Source organism: Homo sapiens, chromosome 14 (genome assembly GCF_000001405.40).
Source record: "Homo sapiens chromosome 14, GRCh38.p14 Primary Assembly".
Lineage (NCBI taxonomy): Eukaryota > Metazoa > Chordata > Mammalia > Primates > Hominidae > Homo > Homo sapiens.
The window spans coordinates 47200160-47219900 of NC_000014.9; the positions used below are offsets into that span (position 1 = coordinate 47200160).

At 34.6% G+C, this 19741-nt stretch overlaps 1 protein-coding gene and 1 pseudogene across 10 annotated transcripts in view, besides 1 other annotated feature; both read right to left on the reverse strand.

Moving 5' to 3' along the window:
• Positions 1–19741, reverse strand: part of MDGA2 (MAM domain containing glycosylphosphatidylinositol anchor 2) — an 835983-nt gene that overhangs the window by 360537 nt on the left and 455705 nt on the right. For 8 of the 10 annotated variants that reach the window (XM_011536519.3, XM_047431048.1, XM_047431049.1 and 5 more), the window contains one exon: positions 17862–18036. In XM_011536519.3, coding sequence (XP_011534821.1) covers positions 17862–18036 — 175 coding nt within the window. The remainder of the gene's footprint in view (positions 1–17861; positions 18037–19741) is intronic. The other 2 variants (NR_103766.2, NM_182830.4) reach the window with 1 other exon arrangement.
• On the reverse strand, positions 390–967 carry RPL13AP2 (ribosomal protein L13a pseudogene 2; annotated as a pseudogene).
• Positions 13754–13954: a silencer, noted in NCBI's record as "peak2152 fragment used in MPRA reporter construct". NCBI's record gives its function as "represses an SCP1 promoter by STARR-seq MPRAs in K562 erythroleukemia cells {active_cell/tissue: K562}" and the evidence as "EXISTENCE:reporter gene assay evidence [ECO:0000049][PMID:32103011]".

Below are 19741 nucleotides of genomic sequence, written 5' to 3' on the forward strand. Positions count from 1 at the left end.
AGTAATAAGGATGACCAAAGAACGAAAAAGGAAGAAGAAAGAACCTAATAGTGGAGAAGCCTTAGCACAAAAAAATCACCAATTATCACCACCATATATGGCATTTTTAATTTATTTTTTGCTGAAGTAAAATGTAATCAAATACAATAGAGCTAAAATAATTAGAAATATTTATTGAAGACAGAACAGAATGAACGAAACAATTTAAAAGAATATCATATTTCTAAAACTATTCTTTTTATAGAATAAATCTGTTTCACTGGAGGCAATCAAGAGTTTAATGCCATAATCAATATATGACATTAGTTTTTAATTACTCATATATGCAACCACTTCCCTTTTTCTATTTTTCTTTTCTTTTTTCTTTTTCTTTTCTTTTTTTTTTTTTTTGAGGAGTTAACAGTCTTTATTGGGCTCAGACCAGGAGTCCGTGAGTCTTGAAGACCTCTGTATATTTGTCAATTTTCTTCTCCACGTTCTTCTCGGCCTGTTTCCGTAGCCTCAAGAGCTGTTTCTTCTTCCAGTACTGGATCTTGGCCTTCTCCTTCCTCTTCTCCTGCAGGGTGGCTGTCACTGCCTGCTACTTCCAGCCAACCTCGTGAGCCAGGCGCCCCAGTTAGGCAAACTTTCTTGCAGGCTTCAAACGCACGACCTTCAGGGCAGCAGGAGCCACCATCCATTTTTTCTTGTCATAGGGCGGTGGGATGCCGTCAAACACCTTAAGGCAGTCCAGAGCGGCCTGGCCTCGCTTGGTCTTGTGGGGCAGCAAGCCTCGCTCGGTCCGAACTTCAACTTGTTTCTGTAGAAATTGCCAGAAATGTTGATGCCTTCGCAGCATACGACCACCACTTTCCTGCCCAGCAGTACCTGTTTAGCCACAATGGCCGCCAGGCGGCCCAGGAGATGGCCTCGACCATCAAGCACCAAGACCTGCACCTCCGCCATCTTCGGCAGCAGCTTGGGAAAGCCCTTTTTCTATTTTTATTGCATTAGCTGCTAGTTTACCTGCTCCATCAACTTCTTGAGGAACATTTTTCACGTGGTTTATAACCCCTCTCTCTTACATGATTCCTGCTACCAAATGCTGTGATTTCAATATCCGCATCAATCCATCCTCACTAACTCCATATTCCCTAATACCCTCTACTGAAAGGACAGTCACTTCCATTTCACTTCGGCAACACTCTCACAAAAGTATTATCTAGACCTTAGGATCACACAAAGACATCCTAGCTCTGAAATTATAAACCCAGATTGTTCTCCCTTTTACCTTGGCCTCCCATCTCCTGTTCTTTCTCTGTCTTGCCTGGTGCACCTACTCATCAACCTGACTGAAACCTTAGTGCTGTTTCACAAGCCTCTCTCCTCCAAGTAAATGGCATGTCCTATGTTTCACAATACTTGTCTCAAATATGTAGAATTCTCTTCAGACCTCTAACCCAACTGTTGCTCACATTCTCACCAAAATAACTTTCTATTTTAGTGTCTCAAAATGGACAACACATACGAACTCTTTCAACTTCCTAGCCACTGCCAGCCTACTTTATCTGTTTTTCTATTTCCTTCTTGTCTACCTTTGTATTACAAAGACAGTTTTTCCTAAAGTTATCTGAGTTTTTATTCCAGTCCCTCCAGATTCTCAATTCCATCAAATATCCTCTCTGCTTTACATCATTTATCTTTCTTCCCACTCATCATCTGTAAAATGGGACTTGTACCTATTTAATGTATTAGGTGAAATCCTATATGTAAAGCACTTGACACATGTACAGTACATATTAAATGCTATGAGATGTTATTTTATTATTGTTAGTAGAGTACCAGTAGTATTAATAGTGATATAATTTTAATATACATGAAGTCTTTTACACCTAAATATAAACAAATTAAATATGACATATCCCACTGCCTCTTCCTTTCACTCTTACTCTTTTTCTTCTTAGCATCCTTTATTGAGTTCTTACCATGTCATTCATCATTTTAAACCTTTCTATAGTTGTAAAACTTAAAATCCTTATAATGGGCTTAACACTTTTGGGGGCAAATAGCAAGTACTTGATTAATGTTAGTAAAAGTAGTTGTGATGATTAGATAATAAAAACAACTGTATAGATATCATCATGGGCCTTTGATAAAGAGCCAGGGAAATTGTCCAAGGCTATAAACCTAGTAAAAGGTGGAGATGCATGCTTGCAATTAGATTAACTCATTAACACATTTGCTTAACAATACCTACCCTTGGAAGCTTTCCATTAACTTCCTGATTTTTTTTTAAAAAGGGCCCTTTATCAGGCACCAACCCATGTGAAGGTCACAATGGCTGTCAAAGACAACAATCCTTCTTGGAGCTTTTGTCTCCTATAACCTAGCATGCCATTTGTCGATAGGAATTAAGAGCTGACCTTCCTGAGCTCTGACTTTGTGTCAGCCATTGAACCAATAACTATACAGGCCCTGACTAATTTTATCCTTACAGCAATCCTATAAGGGAGGAATTGTTATTATTGTCTCCATTTTACAAATGAGCAGCATTTAGGTGCATGAGGTTCAGACAGTGAAAATATCTGAATTATAAAAATTTATACAAGTGACAGTGTAAATCCAGGATGAGAAGCCAGCAGCTTGGCTCATGTTTGTACTCACAATGGTGCTCTAATGACCTTAATGCCCAAGTTAGTAGCACATAATACTGAATACATACTTGTGGGACAAATGTTAATGCTATAGAACTTATATAACACATAGCTAAATGCAATGTTAAGGAAGATCTTTGAAATACTGGAAAATAACTTTTCTCTCCAGTTTGGTGTTTTAAATACCTAAAAAGAGTTTCCAATTCTCATGTTCAATTTGAAGCTAAAGGATTTGTGTTTATGGTCTTAACATATACCTAGACATTAAAAAAGGAGAAGAAGAGTAAAAGCAATTACAGATCCTATCACGAACACCACCTGGGCACTCTGCAGTAACAGGAATCCAGGTATTTCTTATTTGGCTATAACAAGGTAGAAGCATTTCATTAATCTAATATTTGGCACTAGTTTCCCCAAAGAGATCACTCTTTAAAAATACATTTATAGGTGTTCAGGGTGAAGGTAAAGCTGGGAGTTCAGGAGGGAGGGCCTATCGGGGCTTAGAGAAGGGGGATGCTATTTGTCATGACATGGGAGTTGATGACAGATGGGGAAAGAGATTTGTTTTGTGGTCCTGAAAGGAAGAAGGAAAGAGAAGCATGCAGGGATGAATGGTGCCAGGAAGACAGAGAATGTTTGAATACACTGAGGGAACACAAGAAACTAGGATCAATGATTCCATCAGGTCCAGGTAGAGCTTTAGGTATTGCTAGGAGCCTCAATCATATCTGGACAATTTTCAGTTAAGTCTTCTGGGCTCATGGAGGCTTGGTGGTAGTGGAGTTTTGGTGTGAAAACAAATGGCACCATGCTTTATGATTGGCCCAAGCAAGATTGCACAGTGACAGAGAAAGAGAAGTAGAAGCTCAGGAGGCAGAAGGCTTTGTGAACCAGGGTAATTTTCAGAAACCCTAGGGGAAGACTTTTGACAGAGTGTTAAAATGACACACCTAGTTTTGATTCAAGAGATCTGGGCTTAGACCAAGAGTCTTCAAATGTTTTAAATCACAAGAGATTAGGATATATAACCAGAGTTAAAACCCGCAATATGGTTTCAGAGCTATGAGAAGGAAACTTATCTAAAAATACTTCCTGAGGATACACTCTAATTGCAACAGAGCAGATAAATGTCTTTGGGGTCTTTAGGCAAGGTAAAAGAGGTGGTGAGATCTGACAGGTGTCAATAAGAAAAATTTGAGTTGGCACATAATAATATTTAGAAAAGTACAAAGATGAAAAATTCAAACAGAATTAGAAATGAGCATATACACAGTGAACATTTTGAAAGGACTATACAATCTTAATTGAAAGGCTTGCTAATTAATTTTTTATGCATACTAAGACTGGAGTCATTCCACTTTGTTTTATCCAGCAGTTACAGTCAATATTACCAATATTACCATTCTTGTCTTAGAACAACACTACATGTTTAACTTACAAGAGAAGATATATGGTAGACAAAGCTGAATGGAAATGGACTTACCATGGAGAGAAAATTAAGCAGCAACAATTTAGTAAAATGATTTTATTATAAAGTTATGCAGAAAATGTGTTGATTTATGCATATATGTCTTTCAAGTAAAATAAAACACAAATTCAATGGGAAAGGAAATCCTGAAATAGAAGTGAAAAACTAAAATCTTCTCTGTCAAAAGGTTAATGCACTTACTGAAAAAGTATATAATAATCAGTTACTTCATTTTAGGTATACTTTGCATTCTCTTCTAAGCTAGAGTACAGAAACTATATTCATGGGTTTTTAAAAATACATTATCTCATTCCTCTAATTCCCATCGGTTGCAACACCTTCTTCATTCCTAGTATTATTCTGTTAACAGTGGAACTTCAAAAAGGTGTGCTCACTGAATGAATTAGCTTGTTGACAATAGTTTACAACAGTTCAGACTCATAGTGAACTTGTTATTCACTATGTTATTAATAAAACATGTTATTTGCTAAATGACATGCTAAAAAGGAAAATGTGCTAGTTTTCTATTTCTAATGTTGAGTTCTTCTACTACCAACATTATATATTCTAAAACAATTTTACTATGTACCAATTGTGGGTACACAGTTACAAGACTTAATTTCTAATTCCTATTTTTGCCAACAACATGCTATGAAGATTTGAACAATCTACTTAAATTGGAGTGGCCTAAGTCACAAATGTAGACAAGAGGGCTTCTATTGATTGCTTTCTCTCTCTCAGCCCCTTCATCATTCACACATATACTAGCAAATTTTTTCAAATGACAAATGATATATACAGATACATAACATACATATATAGTTCGTTTCTGTCTGTACGTGTATATGTGTGTTTGTGTGTATATATATGTGCATATGTGTATATATATGTGCATATGTATGCATATATATGTAGCCCCATTCTCCCTGTCAGAAAAATATCTCCCTCTCACCTAGACTTGCTAAGTCAACTCTTTCTTGACAACTTCAACACTTCCTTTGATCATGATGGTCTTTAGCGACTATTTATTCCCCTCAGCTTCTGTAACATCTCTTCCTTGTGCTTATGATCTTATGTCTATTCTTACTTCTCAAAGAGTCTATAATTTATTATTGGGTAGATAATATGCTTTATACATTTTAATATCTCCAAGCCTAATGGGTATTCAGAAAATGTTTATTGGTACATTATTAAAATTATTCAGAACTGTTCTTAGAAAAAGAAAGTAAATATATGTTTATTAGAGGTCTATTTTTCCTTCTATACTACAAAAAACACTCAAAAATCTTCATTCTAGATGATTTCTGCTTAATGTGAAATATCCTTTCAATAGAAAAAAAGTTCATAAATAATCTAAAACTTTTGCAGATGATTAAGGATGTTTCATCCAATTTTTTCATTTAGAAAGGAAAAAACAAGCTTAGATGTAGAAAAGTAAGTCTCTTTGTTAAATTCACAATTTTGCAAGTCTGAGAGCTAACACAAGGAGAAATGGAACCGTGATCTTCTAATCTTAGCTTAGCATTTCAGCTACTACAACAATTATCTTAACTCTGCTATGCTGGATTCTACTCTCCCTGATGATATAACCATGCTGTCTCTGTTTACCACTGTGTTCCCAGCACTGAGTCACACAAAATCTGCGACACAGAAGTCATTTGATAATGGTTTGTTGAATGAATACTGAATGCTTCACTATATACTGTACCATATGAAGTAGAATTTTACTCCCACAAAGGGCACTATTCAAAAACATTGTTTTGCAGATCTCAGTCTCACATTGAAAATACTGCTGTTCATAGAAAAAAGAAAGAAGATAGCTAATTTGTAACACTGGGTTTTCCAACCAAAACATACTGACCCCTCAGAGAACTGCCATTAAGATTATTAGTTACTTGCTCTCTTTTTCATAATATACATATGGACAAATGCCATCATGTCTTTGCCTGAATGCTTGCTTTGAGGAAATTTATAAGAACACAATGTTTAAGCAGTAAGTTATCATTGAGAATGAGTTATCACAGACTTTAATTTAAAACATATAGAGAGGCCAGGCCTGGTGGCTCATGCCTGTGATCCCAGCACTTTGGGAGGCTGAGGCAGCAGAATCTCTTGAGTCCAGGAGTTTGAGATTAGCCTGGTTAACAGAGTGAGACCTCGTCTGTACAGAAAGAAAAAAAAATAGCCTGGCATGTTGGCACCTGCCTGTAGTCCCAGCTACTCAAGAGGCTGGGGTGGGAAGATTGCTTGAGCCCAGGAGTTAAAGGTTGCAGTAAGTTAGGATCACTCCACTGCACTCTGGCTCTGTCTCAAATATAAAAATAAAATAAAATAAGTATATAGGTAGGGCTGGGTGCGGTGGCTCACACCTGTAATCCCAGCACATTAGGACGTGGAAGCTGGAGGATTGCTTGAGGCCAGGAGTTCAAGACCAAACTGGGCAACATGCAAGACTCAGTCTCTACAAAAAGCTAGTAAATTAGCCAGCCATGGCAGTGTGCACCTGGAGTCCTAGCTACTCAGGAGGCTGAGGTGAGAGGATCACTTGAGCCCAGAAGTTCGAGGATGCAGTGAGAGCTATTATTGCACCACTGTACTCCAGCCTGGGCAACAGAGTGAGACCTTGTCCTAAAAAATGGAGAGATGATAGATAGATGACTGACAGACCATTTCTTAGAAGTCAGAGATCATGAAAGTCCACAAGTCTAAAGAAGGATGAAGATAAAAATTCAAATGCACATTTTAAAAGAGATAACATCACTTTGATTTTGTCTCCAGTGCCCTTGAGTAATTAAGCAACACGTGTTTCTCATACCCTAAGTTTGTCACTGAGTTGTTCATTTGGACATAGTTACAGTAAATAATGACATAAGGTGACCTCTACTCTGTAGGAGTTTACAAGACCTTTGGGAGAACAAAATGTATAGCTATGAATATGGGGGTCAAGAAGCATGATAGAGGATGGGGAGCAGGGAGGTGAGGTCGAAGGATGTTGCTTTAGGAGGATGAGGAATTTAATTTCAACAGAATAGGAGAAAAAATAAGCAGAGGGGCTTGGATTTGTAGTAATCAAAAACATAGAAAGAATGTAAATTTTTAGCGGCAAGTACTGTGATAAGCATTGAATTTAAGGAAGATTGATCTGGCAATAATCTGCAGAATATATTTAAGGAGAGAACTATTATTGAGGGAGAGGTCTGCTGGGAGGCCTTTTGCAGGAACCAGGTGTGAAGTGATGAGAGACTGGAATAAGATAGTGGAAGTGGGATTAAAAAATGGAATTTGTTCCCCTTTCTCTATTTTAGCTCATTCTGAAAACTGGAAAATATTTCTAAAAGCTTTTTTTCACATATTCCCTTCTACATTTAGAATACAGCGCTTAGGGAGGGACACCTGAAAACGTTTGAAACAAACCCTTTCATTTACTTCATTCACAGCCATCTGGATGTCTTGATTGCATATCTGCCTCAGCATTACCTCATGAAACAGGGATTTTTATATTCTAAGCCTGGTGACAAACTCAAGAGATCATGAATAAAAACACTGCAGTGCCCTCTAGCAGGGTGCAGAAATTTTCACTTCACTTTCAGTTTAAGAGATTGAAAGTAGGCTGCTTTTCAGATACTTCAGTATTTCATGGATCAATCACACCAGTATGTTTCAGAAGCTAAGACGTATTAAATTTTTCCCTCTATCAAGAGAGAACAGCTAAGTTTTTGAAAATATCAAGTATTGAAGCAAGGTCAGATGTACTCTCTGACACCCTTCTCAAGAATCATTTCCTTCAATTGTCAAAGGGAAAAAATAAAATAAACTCTTGTCTTAAAGTTGGAGGTAGAAATCATTTTAATTTTAAAGAGCTTCTTATTTTGTATGAATCTCATGGCTTTTTTACTCTCTCTGAGAATCCGTCCACCTTATCCTATAATGCCAGTCAACAATGGATATTTAAAGTACTTGACCTTACTCACGGTATAGACCAAACAGCAAAAGCAAAGGTAGCCAGGTTTCCTTGAAACTGTTATAAATTTAAATTTGATAGTATAATGTATTCTGAATACATTCAGAGAAAGTATGGCCTCAAGTGCTAAATAATTAAGTAAGCAATAATTTACCTTTCAAACTTTTACTTTACCTTCTGTGTGACTCAGAATTTGCTGGACTTTAAAATACGTGGGAAAAAAACACATTAAACATCCTCCCTTTTTTATATTCAAACCATTTTATTAGCTCACTTTACTTGTACAAATTATATTCCTTCTCTAAACTCTTTTTTTTTTTTTTTATGAAATGTCTGTGCAATACAGAGTTGACGGTAGCAGACTTTGCCCTCAGGGAGAAAGCTAGATTCAGAGGGCTCCATGAACCGCCTGGAAATCAGAACCCTGGATGCCAATGTCCATTCTCTGGCTGACTCAGCAGGAGCATCTGCCTGCCACATAACCTTTGGCTAGGGAATCCCACCTAGACAATGGACTGTGTTCTTAAGGGCCTTTTATTCAGTTTAACCATAGATTTACTTCTTTTAAATGACCAAATTTATAAATAATTTTTAGATGAAAGAGAATCTTTATGAAATTTAGATGTGAACATTTTAAAAGATCTCTTGGTAACAATAAGAGCAAAAGTATAAACACAGGCACACATTCGAATAGCCTTCTATCTTTATGAAAAACACTACAAGCTTTCATTACAAATGTATTCCTGAGAATACGTTTGCTCGGGAATGGATAGTTTTTATAAGAGTAACAACCTAGAAATTAAATGCACACTGATGTAATGATTATATCCTTTTTTTTTAAATTCCTTAACATATTTAGTGAGAGGGCTAATGAATGTCATGCATCACTTTTCCCTTAGTACTTTTGATATGTAAACAAATTTTTTAGATTTACTCATCTAATTTTTAACCAAAATACTTTTAGGTCTATTTTTCATGTCTCCAATTATAAGGTTCTACAGGGCAAAAGCCTTGTATTTTTGTTTTATCTCTCACCAGTAGTTCGAGTAGAGTGGTTTTCATATTGTAGGTCATCAGTTAACATTGCAAACTGACAGACTAATTGAAGTGGCCTTCCCAGCCCTCCAGCTCAGAAGGCTTATAGAATGCCTGAGATTTTCAGAATCAGGTTGAATGAGGGACCTAAAGGCAGTAGGAACAGGTGCAGAGCAACTGAGGGAAAGCTGACAGTTGCCATTCTGATGATGTATTTGTGAGATTCTGGAAGACTCCAGTAGGTGCTCTGTGAATGCATCTTAAGAGGGTGCATTTGACCAGTACTGAATGGATAATAATTGAGATAGGACTAAACTGATTTAAAAGTAATTCTTCTCTAATGTCTTCTGAACACGAATCAGTAAACAGGTATGTAATAGGATTTTTGACAAAGCTCTTTTATTAGGAACTCTAATACTATTTGGAAATTAGATTGGTTGTATGTCCCACTTGTAAATAACACTGATAAGCAAGTACTCTTCATCGGTATAATTCAGAAAATTGCAAAATCCTGTCTCAAATTTTATTAATAGGGCAATTTGCATGACAGCAACTCATTTTAATAAGCATTGTAATTGCCACATCAAACATTATTAAGACCTTCCAAACCCAAGGCTGATGTTTTGGGAGGATGGGTGGTGGGTGAGAAAATTTTGCTTAATAGGATTTACATAAAGGATTGTTTTCTTTCCAGGGTTTGTCACGTTTCCAGAATTCCCATTAGTCATTCTAGCCCTTTTCCTAAACTTTTCTGTCTAAAAATCAAGTTGATGGTTCCAATAAAAATAAACTCATTGTCAATAATATTTTGCTGTTTGGTTTATAATTCTTTCTAACACAGGTAAATTGTACTTGTAAAATAAACTGATAATATGTTATACTAATCTCCCAGTTGAAAATGTAATAAATCTATCAGACAAGGACCAAAAATATCACTGCTTGTTCTGAACATAATGAAATGCAGCAATCTACCTAAGTGACATGAAAGTAGGGGATAAGCTTCAGAAATAAGAATGCTTACAACATGTTTAATGGATATTGGAAAAGATTTGTCTCATGTGTGAACAGTGTCTGTACACATAAAAACTTATTAAGCTAATGCCTCTCAGTCTAATTTCTTTTTGAATTAAAAACAAGTTTTAATCAAACCCTAACCTTTAAAGTCATATGGCCTCTATTACCCTATGAACCACACAGTCATGGCTAAGAATAAGTGAAAAAATTAGATGAACACACTCTTAGAAAATTGTTTAAATGTCCTCAAGAATCTTAAGGTAACAAATATATTTGGGAATAAGCACATCAAAATTCTATGAAACCGTTTTTTTTCCTACCTAGGATATACTCTTTCTTCCTCCAAAGATAGATTTTAGGGTTCTCAATAAGTGGCCATTGCTTCTTAGGACAAATGAAACAGTATCGGTATTAGAATGCTGACCCTCATCAGTAGTTCTGCAGTTATAAAATTACAATTGCAGGGGCTGGGCACAAGTGGCTCACGCCTGTAATCCCAACACTTTGGGAGGCTGAGGCTAGAGGACTGCTTGAGGCCAGGCATTTGAGACCAGCTTGAGCAACAAAGCAAGACCCCACTATGCATGCCTGTAGTCCTAGCTATTCAGGAGCCTGAGGGGGAGGATCCCTTGAGCCCAGGAGTCCAAGGTTACAGTGAGCTATGATTGTACTGCTGCACTGGAGCCTAGGTAACACAGCAAACCCTGTCTCTAAAAAAAATAAAACATAAAAAAAGAAAGTTACAATTTATTTATTTTGCATCTTACATAAATGGCAGATCATCATTCATATGGTAAAAACATTGGCAGTAAAAGTTCAACATAATTATGACATAATTAACAGTCTATCTTTCAATTTAAGCTCTCATTTCTCCCCCAAACCCACCATCGTAACCACTAGTCCCTAAACTCTGTGGGATTATTCTCCCTTATTTCGTGCCTTTAATCAAATTTCTCACCCATTAAAAGATACCTTTGGCCTTCCCTACTACTCTGTTAAGAATGGTGAGGGGTCTGATATTTTCCCTACTTGCTAATATGTTAGTCTGCCACAGTTTCATGGATGCTAACCAAAAACACAAGACTCCTGGGTCTGAGAGAAAAGACCTCATTACTGAAGCCTCAAAAGTATGTGCTTCCTGTCTTCATAGGTTTTCCCGCCTTAATTTTCATAGGAACAATGTGTTGGGCAGCCCAGGTGAATGCCAGGCACACCATTGGTTTTTGACACAGCTAAGAGACCCTGAGCTCAGGAAGCTCCCCATCTTATAAAGGTCCTGCAAGAAAGCCTGATTAATCTTTGCCCCTGAGGTAGATATTATCTTTACTATCCTGGTCAGGAAACAAATCTGCCCTCTTCCCTAAAGGCAGACACTATCTCTATTGTCCAAGGCTGTTTGTTACACAAACACTCTTGAAAAAAGGAGTTCCGAACCCAAGCTGCCAAAAAAAGTGTAGAACTGCCAGGGAGAATTCTTTCAAAACCCATCCTTAAAATTGCAATGTAAATCCTACTTCTTTCATAAGAGGCCACAATAAACTTTTACTTCCAGCACTATATTTTCAGGGTCATTAGCATATCATTCACTGTTGTGTGGCATAATTTATGTTATTAACCTTATTACTTAACATTTGTAAACCATTTAAATGAATTAAATTGTCACTTTGTCTTCTTAAGTAGTTTAAACCCATTGAAGGTATAAATTATTTAATAAGTTCCTTTTTAGCCCACAAAATTCAGTGGAGCTATATTTTGAATAGACACTCAATGAATGACGTAAAAGTCAAAGTTATTTTTTAAAATATTTTATTCTAAACAACATGTAAGAAAATTGTAGTGGAAATTAACCTAAAGAGTTTTATTCTAAAAAGTTTAGAAGAAAAATTAGTTATCAGAATGTAGTACCAACATTCCTTATGCTATTTGCCTATCTTTTATATAGGAGATAATATGTTTTTAGTCAACTTTATTTGGTGTCGAATATAAAGGAATGCCAATTCTTATGAATAAATAAAGTGTGAGTATAAACCTAGTTTTAAGTTTCTGAATTAATAATGATCTGCTAAAATTTGGAATGAAATTGGTTTTGACTTCATGGAGCTTAGTAACAAGAACCTCCAAGGTAAAAATCTTCACATCTGTACTTTATTAATTTTTTAAAAATCAAACTATGCAAGTGCAGTTTTAAAAGCCAAATAATGATACATCAAACAACCCTAGGTATTTCCAATACCCAGAGGCAACCTTTTCTAATGCATCTCCTCTTAACTATTTATAAATGCTTTTGCCTTCATATTTTTAAGTGTTCAACTTCTGTTTATAGACTTATTTTTCATTTTCACATTGTCTTACTGATTTCTTCTTACAGAAAGGAAGCATTTAACTCTTATACTAACCTCCTCTCATCCACTATATATTTATAGCGTGCTTTTGGTTAAATCAAGTGTTGCTATTATGACTATGCAAGCGATCTTTACCGCGGAACCTTGTAGTGTATTTGGATTACATTTCATTTCATATAGCTTTTTACATTCCCTTAATAACTCACGTATTTTGTATACTCAATTTTGTATCCACCTATCATTACCATATTATTAAGATTTCCATGAGAATTTGTCTCTAAAATATCAGGTAAGCATCCATTATTCCAGCTTCAATCTGTCCCGGTTGCTTCTGAAGCTCAATGTATGACAAGCTTCTATTGTCGTGCTGCCCTGTTTCCTTATCATTCTGAGATTAACTTCAATATCTTCCTATACATAGCCTCTTATTTTGGGGATGATATTTCTTCCTTTTTTGTTTACTTCTTAGTTTTGGAGGAAAATAGATAAAAGTAGTATCCTCAGCAAGGGTGCATTAGCCAAAAAAAACTGAAATCTTATAGGTCTAAAAATGTCTTTCTTCTTCTTTGATATTTGAAAAAATAGCCTGGCCATACAGAAGATTCTAGTTGAAATAATTTTCCTTCAGAATTTCAAAAGCTTTACTCAGTTGCCTTCTAGCCCCAGATTTCCATTGTGCGGACCTGTGCCATTTTGATTCCTAATTTTTTACATGTGAGCATTTTGGAAAAAATAAAAACTGTTTGGACATTTTAAAGAGCTTCGTTTTTTTCCTAATGTTTTGAAGTTGCATGCTGATATGTGCATTGAAGATTTATTTCATTGTGTTAAGGATCCAGTGGTAGCTTTATAATTAAGAACACATGTCCAACTATGATAGGAAATTCTTAATTTAAAAAAAACGTCATTTTGACTGTTTGGAACTCTTATTATTCAAATGTTTGATCTGCTAGATAAATACTCTAATTTTCTTATCTTCTTACGTAGTATCTACTTGATTGTAAAATTTTGTTTTACTGTTTTCCAGCCCTTCTGCTGATTTTTATGTTATCACTTTTAATATGTAAGAGCTATTTTATATTCTCTGAAAGTCCCTTGTTTGTGTTTTCCTGTTCTTGTTTCATGAATACAGTATTTTCCTTTTTTTTCTGAGAATACTATTAGTCCATTTTCATACCACTATAACTGCCCAAGACTGGGTAATTCATGAAAGAAAGAGGTTTAATTGACTCACAGTTCAGCATGGTTGGGGCGACCTCAGTAAACTTACAATCACAGCGGAAGGCAAAGAGAAAGCAAGGCACCTTCTTCGCAAGTCGGCCGTGCTGAGCACAGAATGGAAAGAGTACCTTTTTGGCGAGTAGTAGCCAGCTTCTTCACAAGGAAAAGTACCGAGCGAAGAGGGGGGTAAAGAGTCCCTCATAAAACCATCAGATCTCATAAAAACTCACTATCACGAGAACTGCATGGAAGAGACCACCTGCATGATTCAATTACCTCCACCTGGTCTCTCCCTTGACACGTGGAGATTATGGTGATTATAATTCGAGATGAGATTTGTGTGGGCATGGGGGAAACTATGTTCAGCCACTCAGAAGACACTCAGAAGCGATTTACCCCAACAACAACAACAACAAAAATTGTAATTGGTTAGCTTTTGATCAGAAATATTTGCATAAATAACCAAATCAGATTCGGGAAATTCAAGTCACTGTGTGGTTATAAAATCTACCAGCCTATAAACATATTTTATCAATAAATTATGTTTCCTAAAACTCTTGGAATGCTTTTACAATTCTTAAATGATAAAATTATAGGTCCTATAAATTGAGGAACATGATTATAATAATTTTTCAAACTGTATTCTTGATTAACATAGTAAAAAAATGCATGTGGTAGTTCCTTTATAAAATCTATATACCTTAATATTTTCTACTAAATTTTAGAAAATTATGTGGGAAAAAGTCGCCAATAAAGATACATAAACTTTCTCAAAGTGATCAAAATGTTAATATAGATATTACAAAGATTTCAAAATATCTAAAGAAAGTCATCTCATCTTACATTATTCACCATTGTGTCAAATTCCTTTCGTGAAACTACATTTCCTCATCAAAATAATGTTAGCACATAATTTTATTTTAGGAAGGTTTTAGCTCTAAAGGTAGAAACTTGTAGAACGTGGGATTTGCTGAGAGGTACCCATTTTCACTATTATAAAAGCTCTCTAAGACTACTGATGCATTACATTAATATATACATTATGTGTTATTATACATCAATAGATTATGGGGCAGATTTTAGAGACAATCTTTTACAAGGGATTCAAGAATAAATTCTAACATCATTAATTATTCTTTTTGTTAAACCAAGTCATAGTCTGCCTCAGCTTGGTGTTGTAAAAATAGTTTTTACTGCTGATTTTGCATGAGTGTATTTTGTTTTTATGCATATCCTGCTTCCAAGTTGTACTGATATTGATGAAAGTTCCACATGTGAAATCAGTTTAGAAAAAGAAACAGAAACCTACAATGCAGTGGATGATTTTAAAGGCATGATTTCAGATAAAAACAGTCCTTTTTTTTTAGCATTTCCTAAAATAGTTAAAGCAAAAGTACCTGAAATAAATTAACTCATTCACTTGCTTATAGTTTATATAAATGAATATCTATTCAACTAAGCTGTCCAACATTCAATCAAAATTAGAGCACAAATAAATCTTAAGGATTATAATTCAATTTTAGACACCAGCATTGCCATATTTAAACATAACATGAATACACTAGTCATGTCTTTATCAACAATGATAAAGCATGTTTTAAATTATAGAAACTCAGGTAGAGAAAATGTACTTGAACCTAAAAACTCTGGTCTTCAATCAAGGTTGTATTTGGAGCACATGGACTCCTTAGATAGGTCTAGTGGTCTCTATTGTTAAGTGTTCTTATCACTCAAAGGATGTTTGAAAATTTACTATCTGAAGGAATTAATTTATTCAAGCCATCAAAAATAGGAATAACTACTTTAAATATATGTTTACATCCGCATAGTAGAAAGATCATTGGTGCTAAAGGTAAGGCATTCTCTGGGAAATTTATATTAGAGAGATGTCATGTTTATTTATAGAGTATAGAACTTAACATCATGTTATTTTCTCAAATGGTATAATTGTAGACAGCTTGTTAATAAAGCCTAGCCACCAAACAAGTACTGAAAATAGTACTTCAACATGGTATGCATCACAGTGATGTTTCATTGAAATAACATAGAACGAGATGCTTGTCAAGTCGAGGTTGCATGAGAAAACCCCAAAGGAAGTCAAAGAAGAGAAAGGTAACAAAATAAATGTCTTCAGGCGTGGTTGAATGGAAGAGGAGTCAAACTTTAGAAGGCTAGCAGGGTTTGGGAAATCTGGAGATAACAGTGCTATTATTTCCAGTAAGGTGTGTGATATGAATGAGATACTCAGGCACAACCCAGTCTGCACAGCAAGAGATATGAGCAGGTAGAAAGGAGAAGGGATACTGCAGACTAGCAATGAAAAAGGCTTTCTAGTAAAAGGAAAAGAGAAAAATATTTTTTAAGTCTCTAAAAATGTGAATTTCCCGCTTTATATTTAACTTGTTAACCCAGCAATAAGATTTTTAAATTATCAGACCTATTGTTGCAGAAATGCAAGTCAAAAATTCCATATTCAAAACCTTTGGAGTATGTGTTTCAGAAATTTTCAGATTTTAGAAAGGTTATATAGTATACATGCCATCTATTACATAACAAACTTAGCTGGATATTTGGCTATATTGTATAATCAAACACATTTCCTGGGCAAAACGTGATTATTCAAAGTCTGGTAAATAAAGAGTGTAAAGCTTTTTTCTATTTTTCTATTCAAGTCATTTCAGGTCAAATTTTGACACCACACTAGTTAACATCAAGTTTTGCTTATAAAAGTTACAAACAAAACATACCCACTGATTTTCAGAAGTTTTTAGATTTTACAATTGTGTTTAAGGTATTGAAGAGGTGTATTTTAAAATTTCATGACCTAAACTACAATAACTAAAACAGCAGAAGGATGTACTCTACACTATTATATTACAAAAAGTATTCAATTCATGTAAATTAAACTTAACCTAATTTAAAATTGTATATGAACAAAAATACTGAAAATATTTAGTCAGGAAAATGGAAGCCAGGGGCTATATTATTTTGGGAAGTATACAGGTGTGGTCAACCTGTGCACCCATAATAATAAGGAAAGGGTGGTACAGGGGATGAATGTTTCTGAATTATGCTAAGGGATGAGGGGCAGGGGGCCTCAGGAAATAGAAGATACTGGAGAGGATGAAACAAGGATTTCTCCCCCATCCTTTCCAGAAGGAAAGCAGGTATCTGAGTGTGGAAAGCAAATTACAAGTGCTGCTTTATCACCCACTTCTCAGTCATCTAAATAACTAAATGAGATTCAGCAGAGCATCTGACAAGTAGACCATGTATAATTTCAAGCCCCTTGCTAACTAGGTAACATCCTATCCTGCAATGAAAGAAAAGAAAGGGGAAAGAAAGGAAGATAGGCAGAAAAACAACATCTCTCAGTTGTTGCTTATGTCTAAATTACTTTAAGAAAAGAAAAATAATTATCTTACATCAGAGACCTAAAAATTAAAATGCAAATTCTTGTAAAAACATAATGAAGTGATAGAAAAACCTGGGCAAAAGACCAAATTAAATGTAGGCCCTTGCTTTGTTTCGGTGGGGAATTAAGTAAGGAGACCAAAAAGATTTAAAATATTATCATCAAGAGCAAAATGTAGGAAAATGAGACTAAGAACAAAAATAAATCAACAAACACTTTTCAGGTGGCACAGCATTGTCCAGGGTTGGTGCTGATTACTTTTAACAGAATTGGACCAAAAGCAGACTATACGTAGAGATTTTTGGTCATTTACAGGCCAATTCATAATGCTCTGTTTGTATGATGTACATTTAAAAATAAACAAGAATAGCTGTATTCACATGTAGGTAAAAAAAATAAACATAAGTTAAAGAATATACAGCATGATCCTATTTTAATAAAAATATAAAAATGCATGTATATCTTTATATATAAAGATAAAAAATGTGTGCATTAAAACCCTAGTTATTAGTGGGATTACCAATGGTTACTGTCTTCTTGTTAATATTGTTCCTAAGTGTTCCATAATGAATATGTATTATATCATAGAAGTTATGAAAGTTTCTAGTGAAGATTCCTTTCTTCAGGAACGTTTTAAGGGAGCTATCATTATTTTACACAGTTTTCATTCTCAGCTAAACAGAACGCTATGGTTTTTCAGAAAACCATAGACTTGTAAGACAAAAGAAATCCATAATAGGCTTAATTATAGTTTTCTGGAAAATTTACTTACAGTATACATCCACTCTGATTGACTTTATCGCTGGAGACCCCAAGCCATTCTCTGCTTTACAGTAATACCGGCCTCCTTGGTGTCGCTGAATATTTGTAATCCTCAAAGTCTCATTGAAGACACTTGAGTCTTGGAATCTGTCAGAGGCACTTCCTGCTGTTTTGGTCCACCTGATCTGAGCAAGCATCAACAAAGATTGTTACTTTAGGTTGGTTTTCCCACAGAGAAATCAAATAGCAATCACTCATTTGAAGAGTTTGCATTTAGAGCTGCTACATTGCCTCTCCCATCAAATTATTGAAGAAAAAATTAATGTTTACAGACACGATTGAATTAAAAAATTTTTAATGTAATGTCATCATTGTACAGTGTGTGTAATTTGAATTCAATTGCATAGAATTCATCAATTGCCTAGTCAGTGTGGAGGGCAATATAAACTATAACATAAAGGGAGTTAAATATCAGTAGTACATTGAAAATATAGATTAACTTTTCTTTTTGTTGGACATTTATATCTGTTTTTCATATTTTCCAAACCTTGTGAGATAATTTTACTTATTTTGTCCAAGTAGGTTCTCATTTTATTTTTGGACATGCCTCATTCTTTTATTTGAAATTTTCTATTTGATTTGAATAGTTTAGACATAATACCATAATGGCTTATTGAGATTATGTATAATTTTAAACACCTGGTTGTTTAAGAGTTTGTTTTCCTTTGATGGCTTTGCTTAATAAGCCCACAAATGATTTGTCTATTTTGATCATCAGTATTCACTTTACATCAATAATTATTTTAAAAAATAATGTAAACTTTTCAAGGAGAACATTTCTACTAAACTGCCAAAACATTTTGAATATCTAAAACATTTCATTATAAACAATACCATTATTTTAAACACAGCTGTCTACAACAGACTTCGTTTTTGCTGGCAATAATGACTGGTATTCAACTCAACTTTTGTGTATTTTAGTGTATAAAACCTGAATAAAAGCCACATACTCATACTGTAAAGTGATACAAAATAGAAAGTAAAAATAATTTGATTTTATTTCCCTTTGTGCCCTGCTATATATTTTAGTTTGTTTTTAAGGTTGAGAAACAGCTGATAGAAATCCTCTGTTCAAACACATATGCTGTGACATGGAAAATGAAACTAAATACTGAATCATCAAAACAGAAATCCTATAATATTGCCATTATATATACCTATTTTCATATGAAGTTAATTAAAATGTATGAGCTAATGGCATAAAAAGTATCTTTAAAAGTTATCCACATAATTAAAATATCTATAAATATAACCACGTTTGCCCTTAATTGTGAATGGAATAAAAATGTTATTAAGAGATGAATTTTAAAAATCTGTAAATCACAAAAAGAAATATCAATATTTATTCCAAATCTTCTATATATATGGAATACACAAAGATGCAAATGGCATAATTTCTGATTTCCAGTAGTTTATAAATGTATTACTGACATACCCATAAGAAGAAAAGGAGAAATTTGTAAATTATGTCAAAAATGGAAGCATACTAACACTTTCACTTAGCAATTATCTGGTTAAAATTTACCTTACTAACATATTTGCAAAATAATGCATAGAAATTAGCCTACTGTATGTATAAAACTGTAACATTGGAAATGATATAAATGCTAAACGATAGGTGGTTATAAATTGACTCTAAAATTGAACTGAATACAGTCATTAGAAAAAATAAAATACAAAATGTATTATTAAGTTAAAAAAGACAAAAAGCAAGAAACAAGAGAATAGTCTCGTCTGTGTAAAAATAGCATATGTGTGTATTCATGTGTGTACATATTACTAAATGTTTATTAAAATTACACAAGGAAACATACAAAACTCTGTAAATGG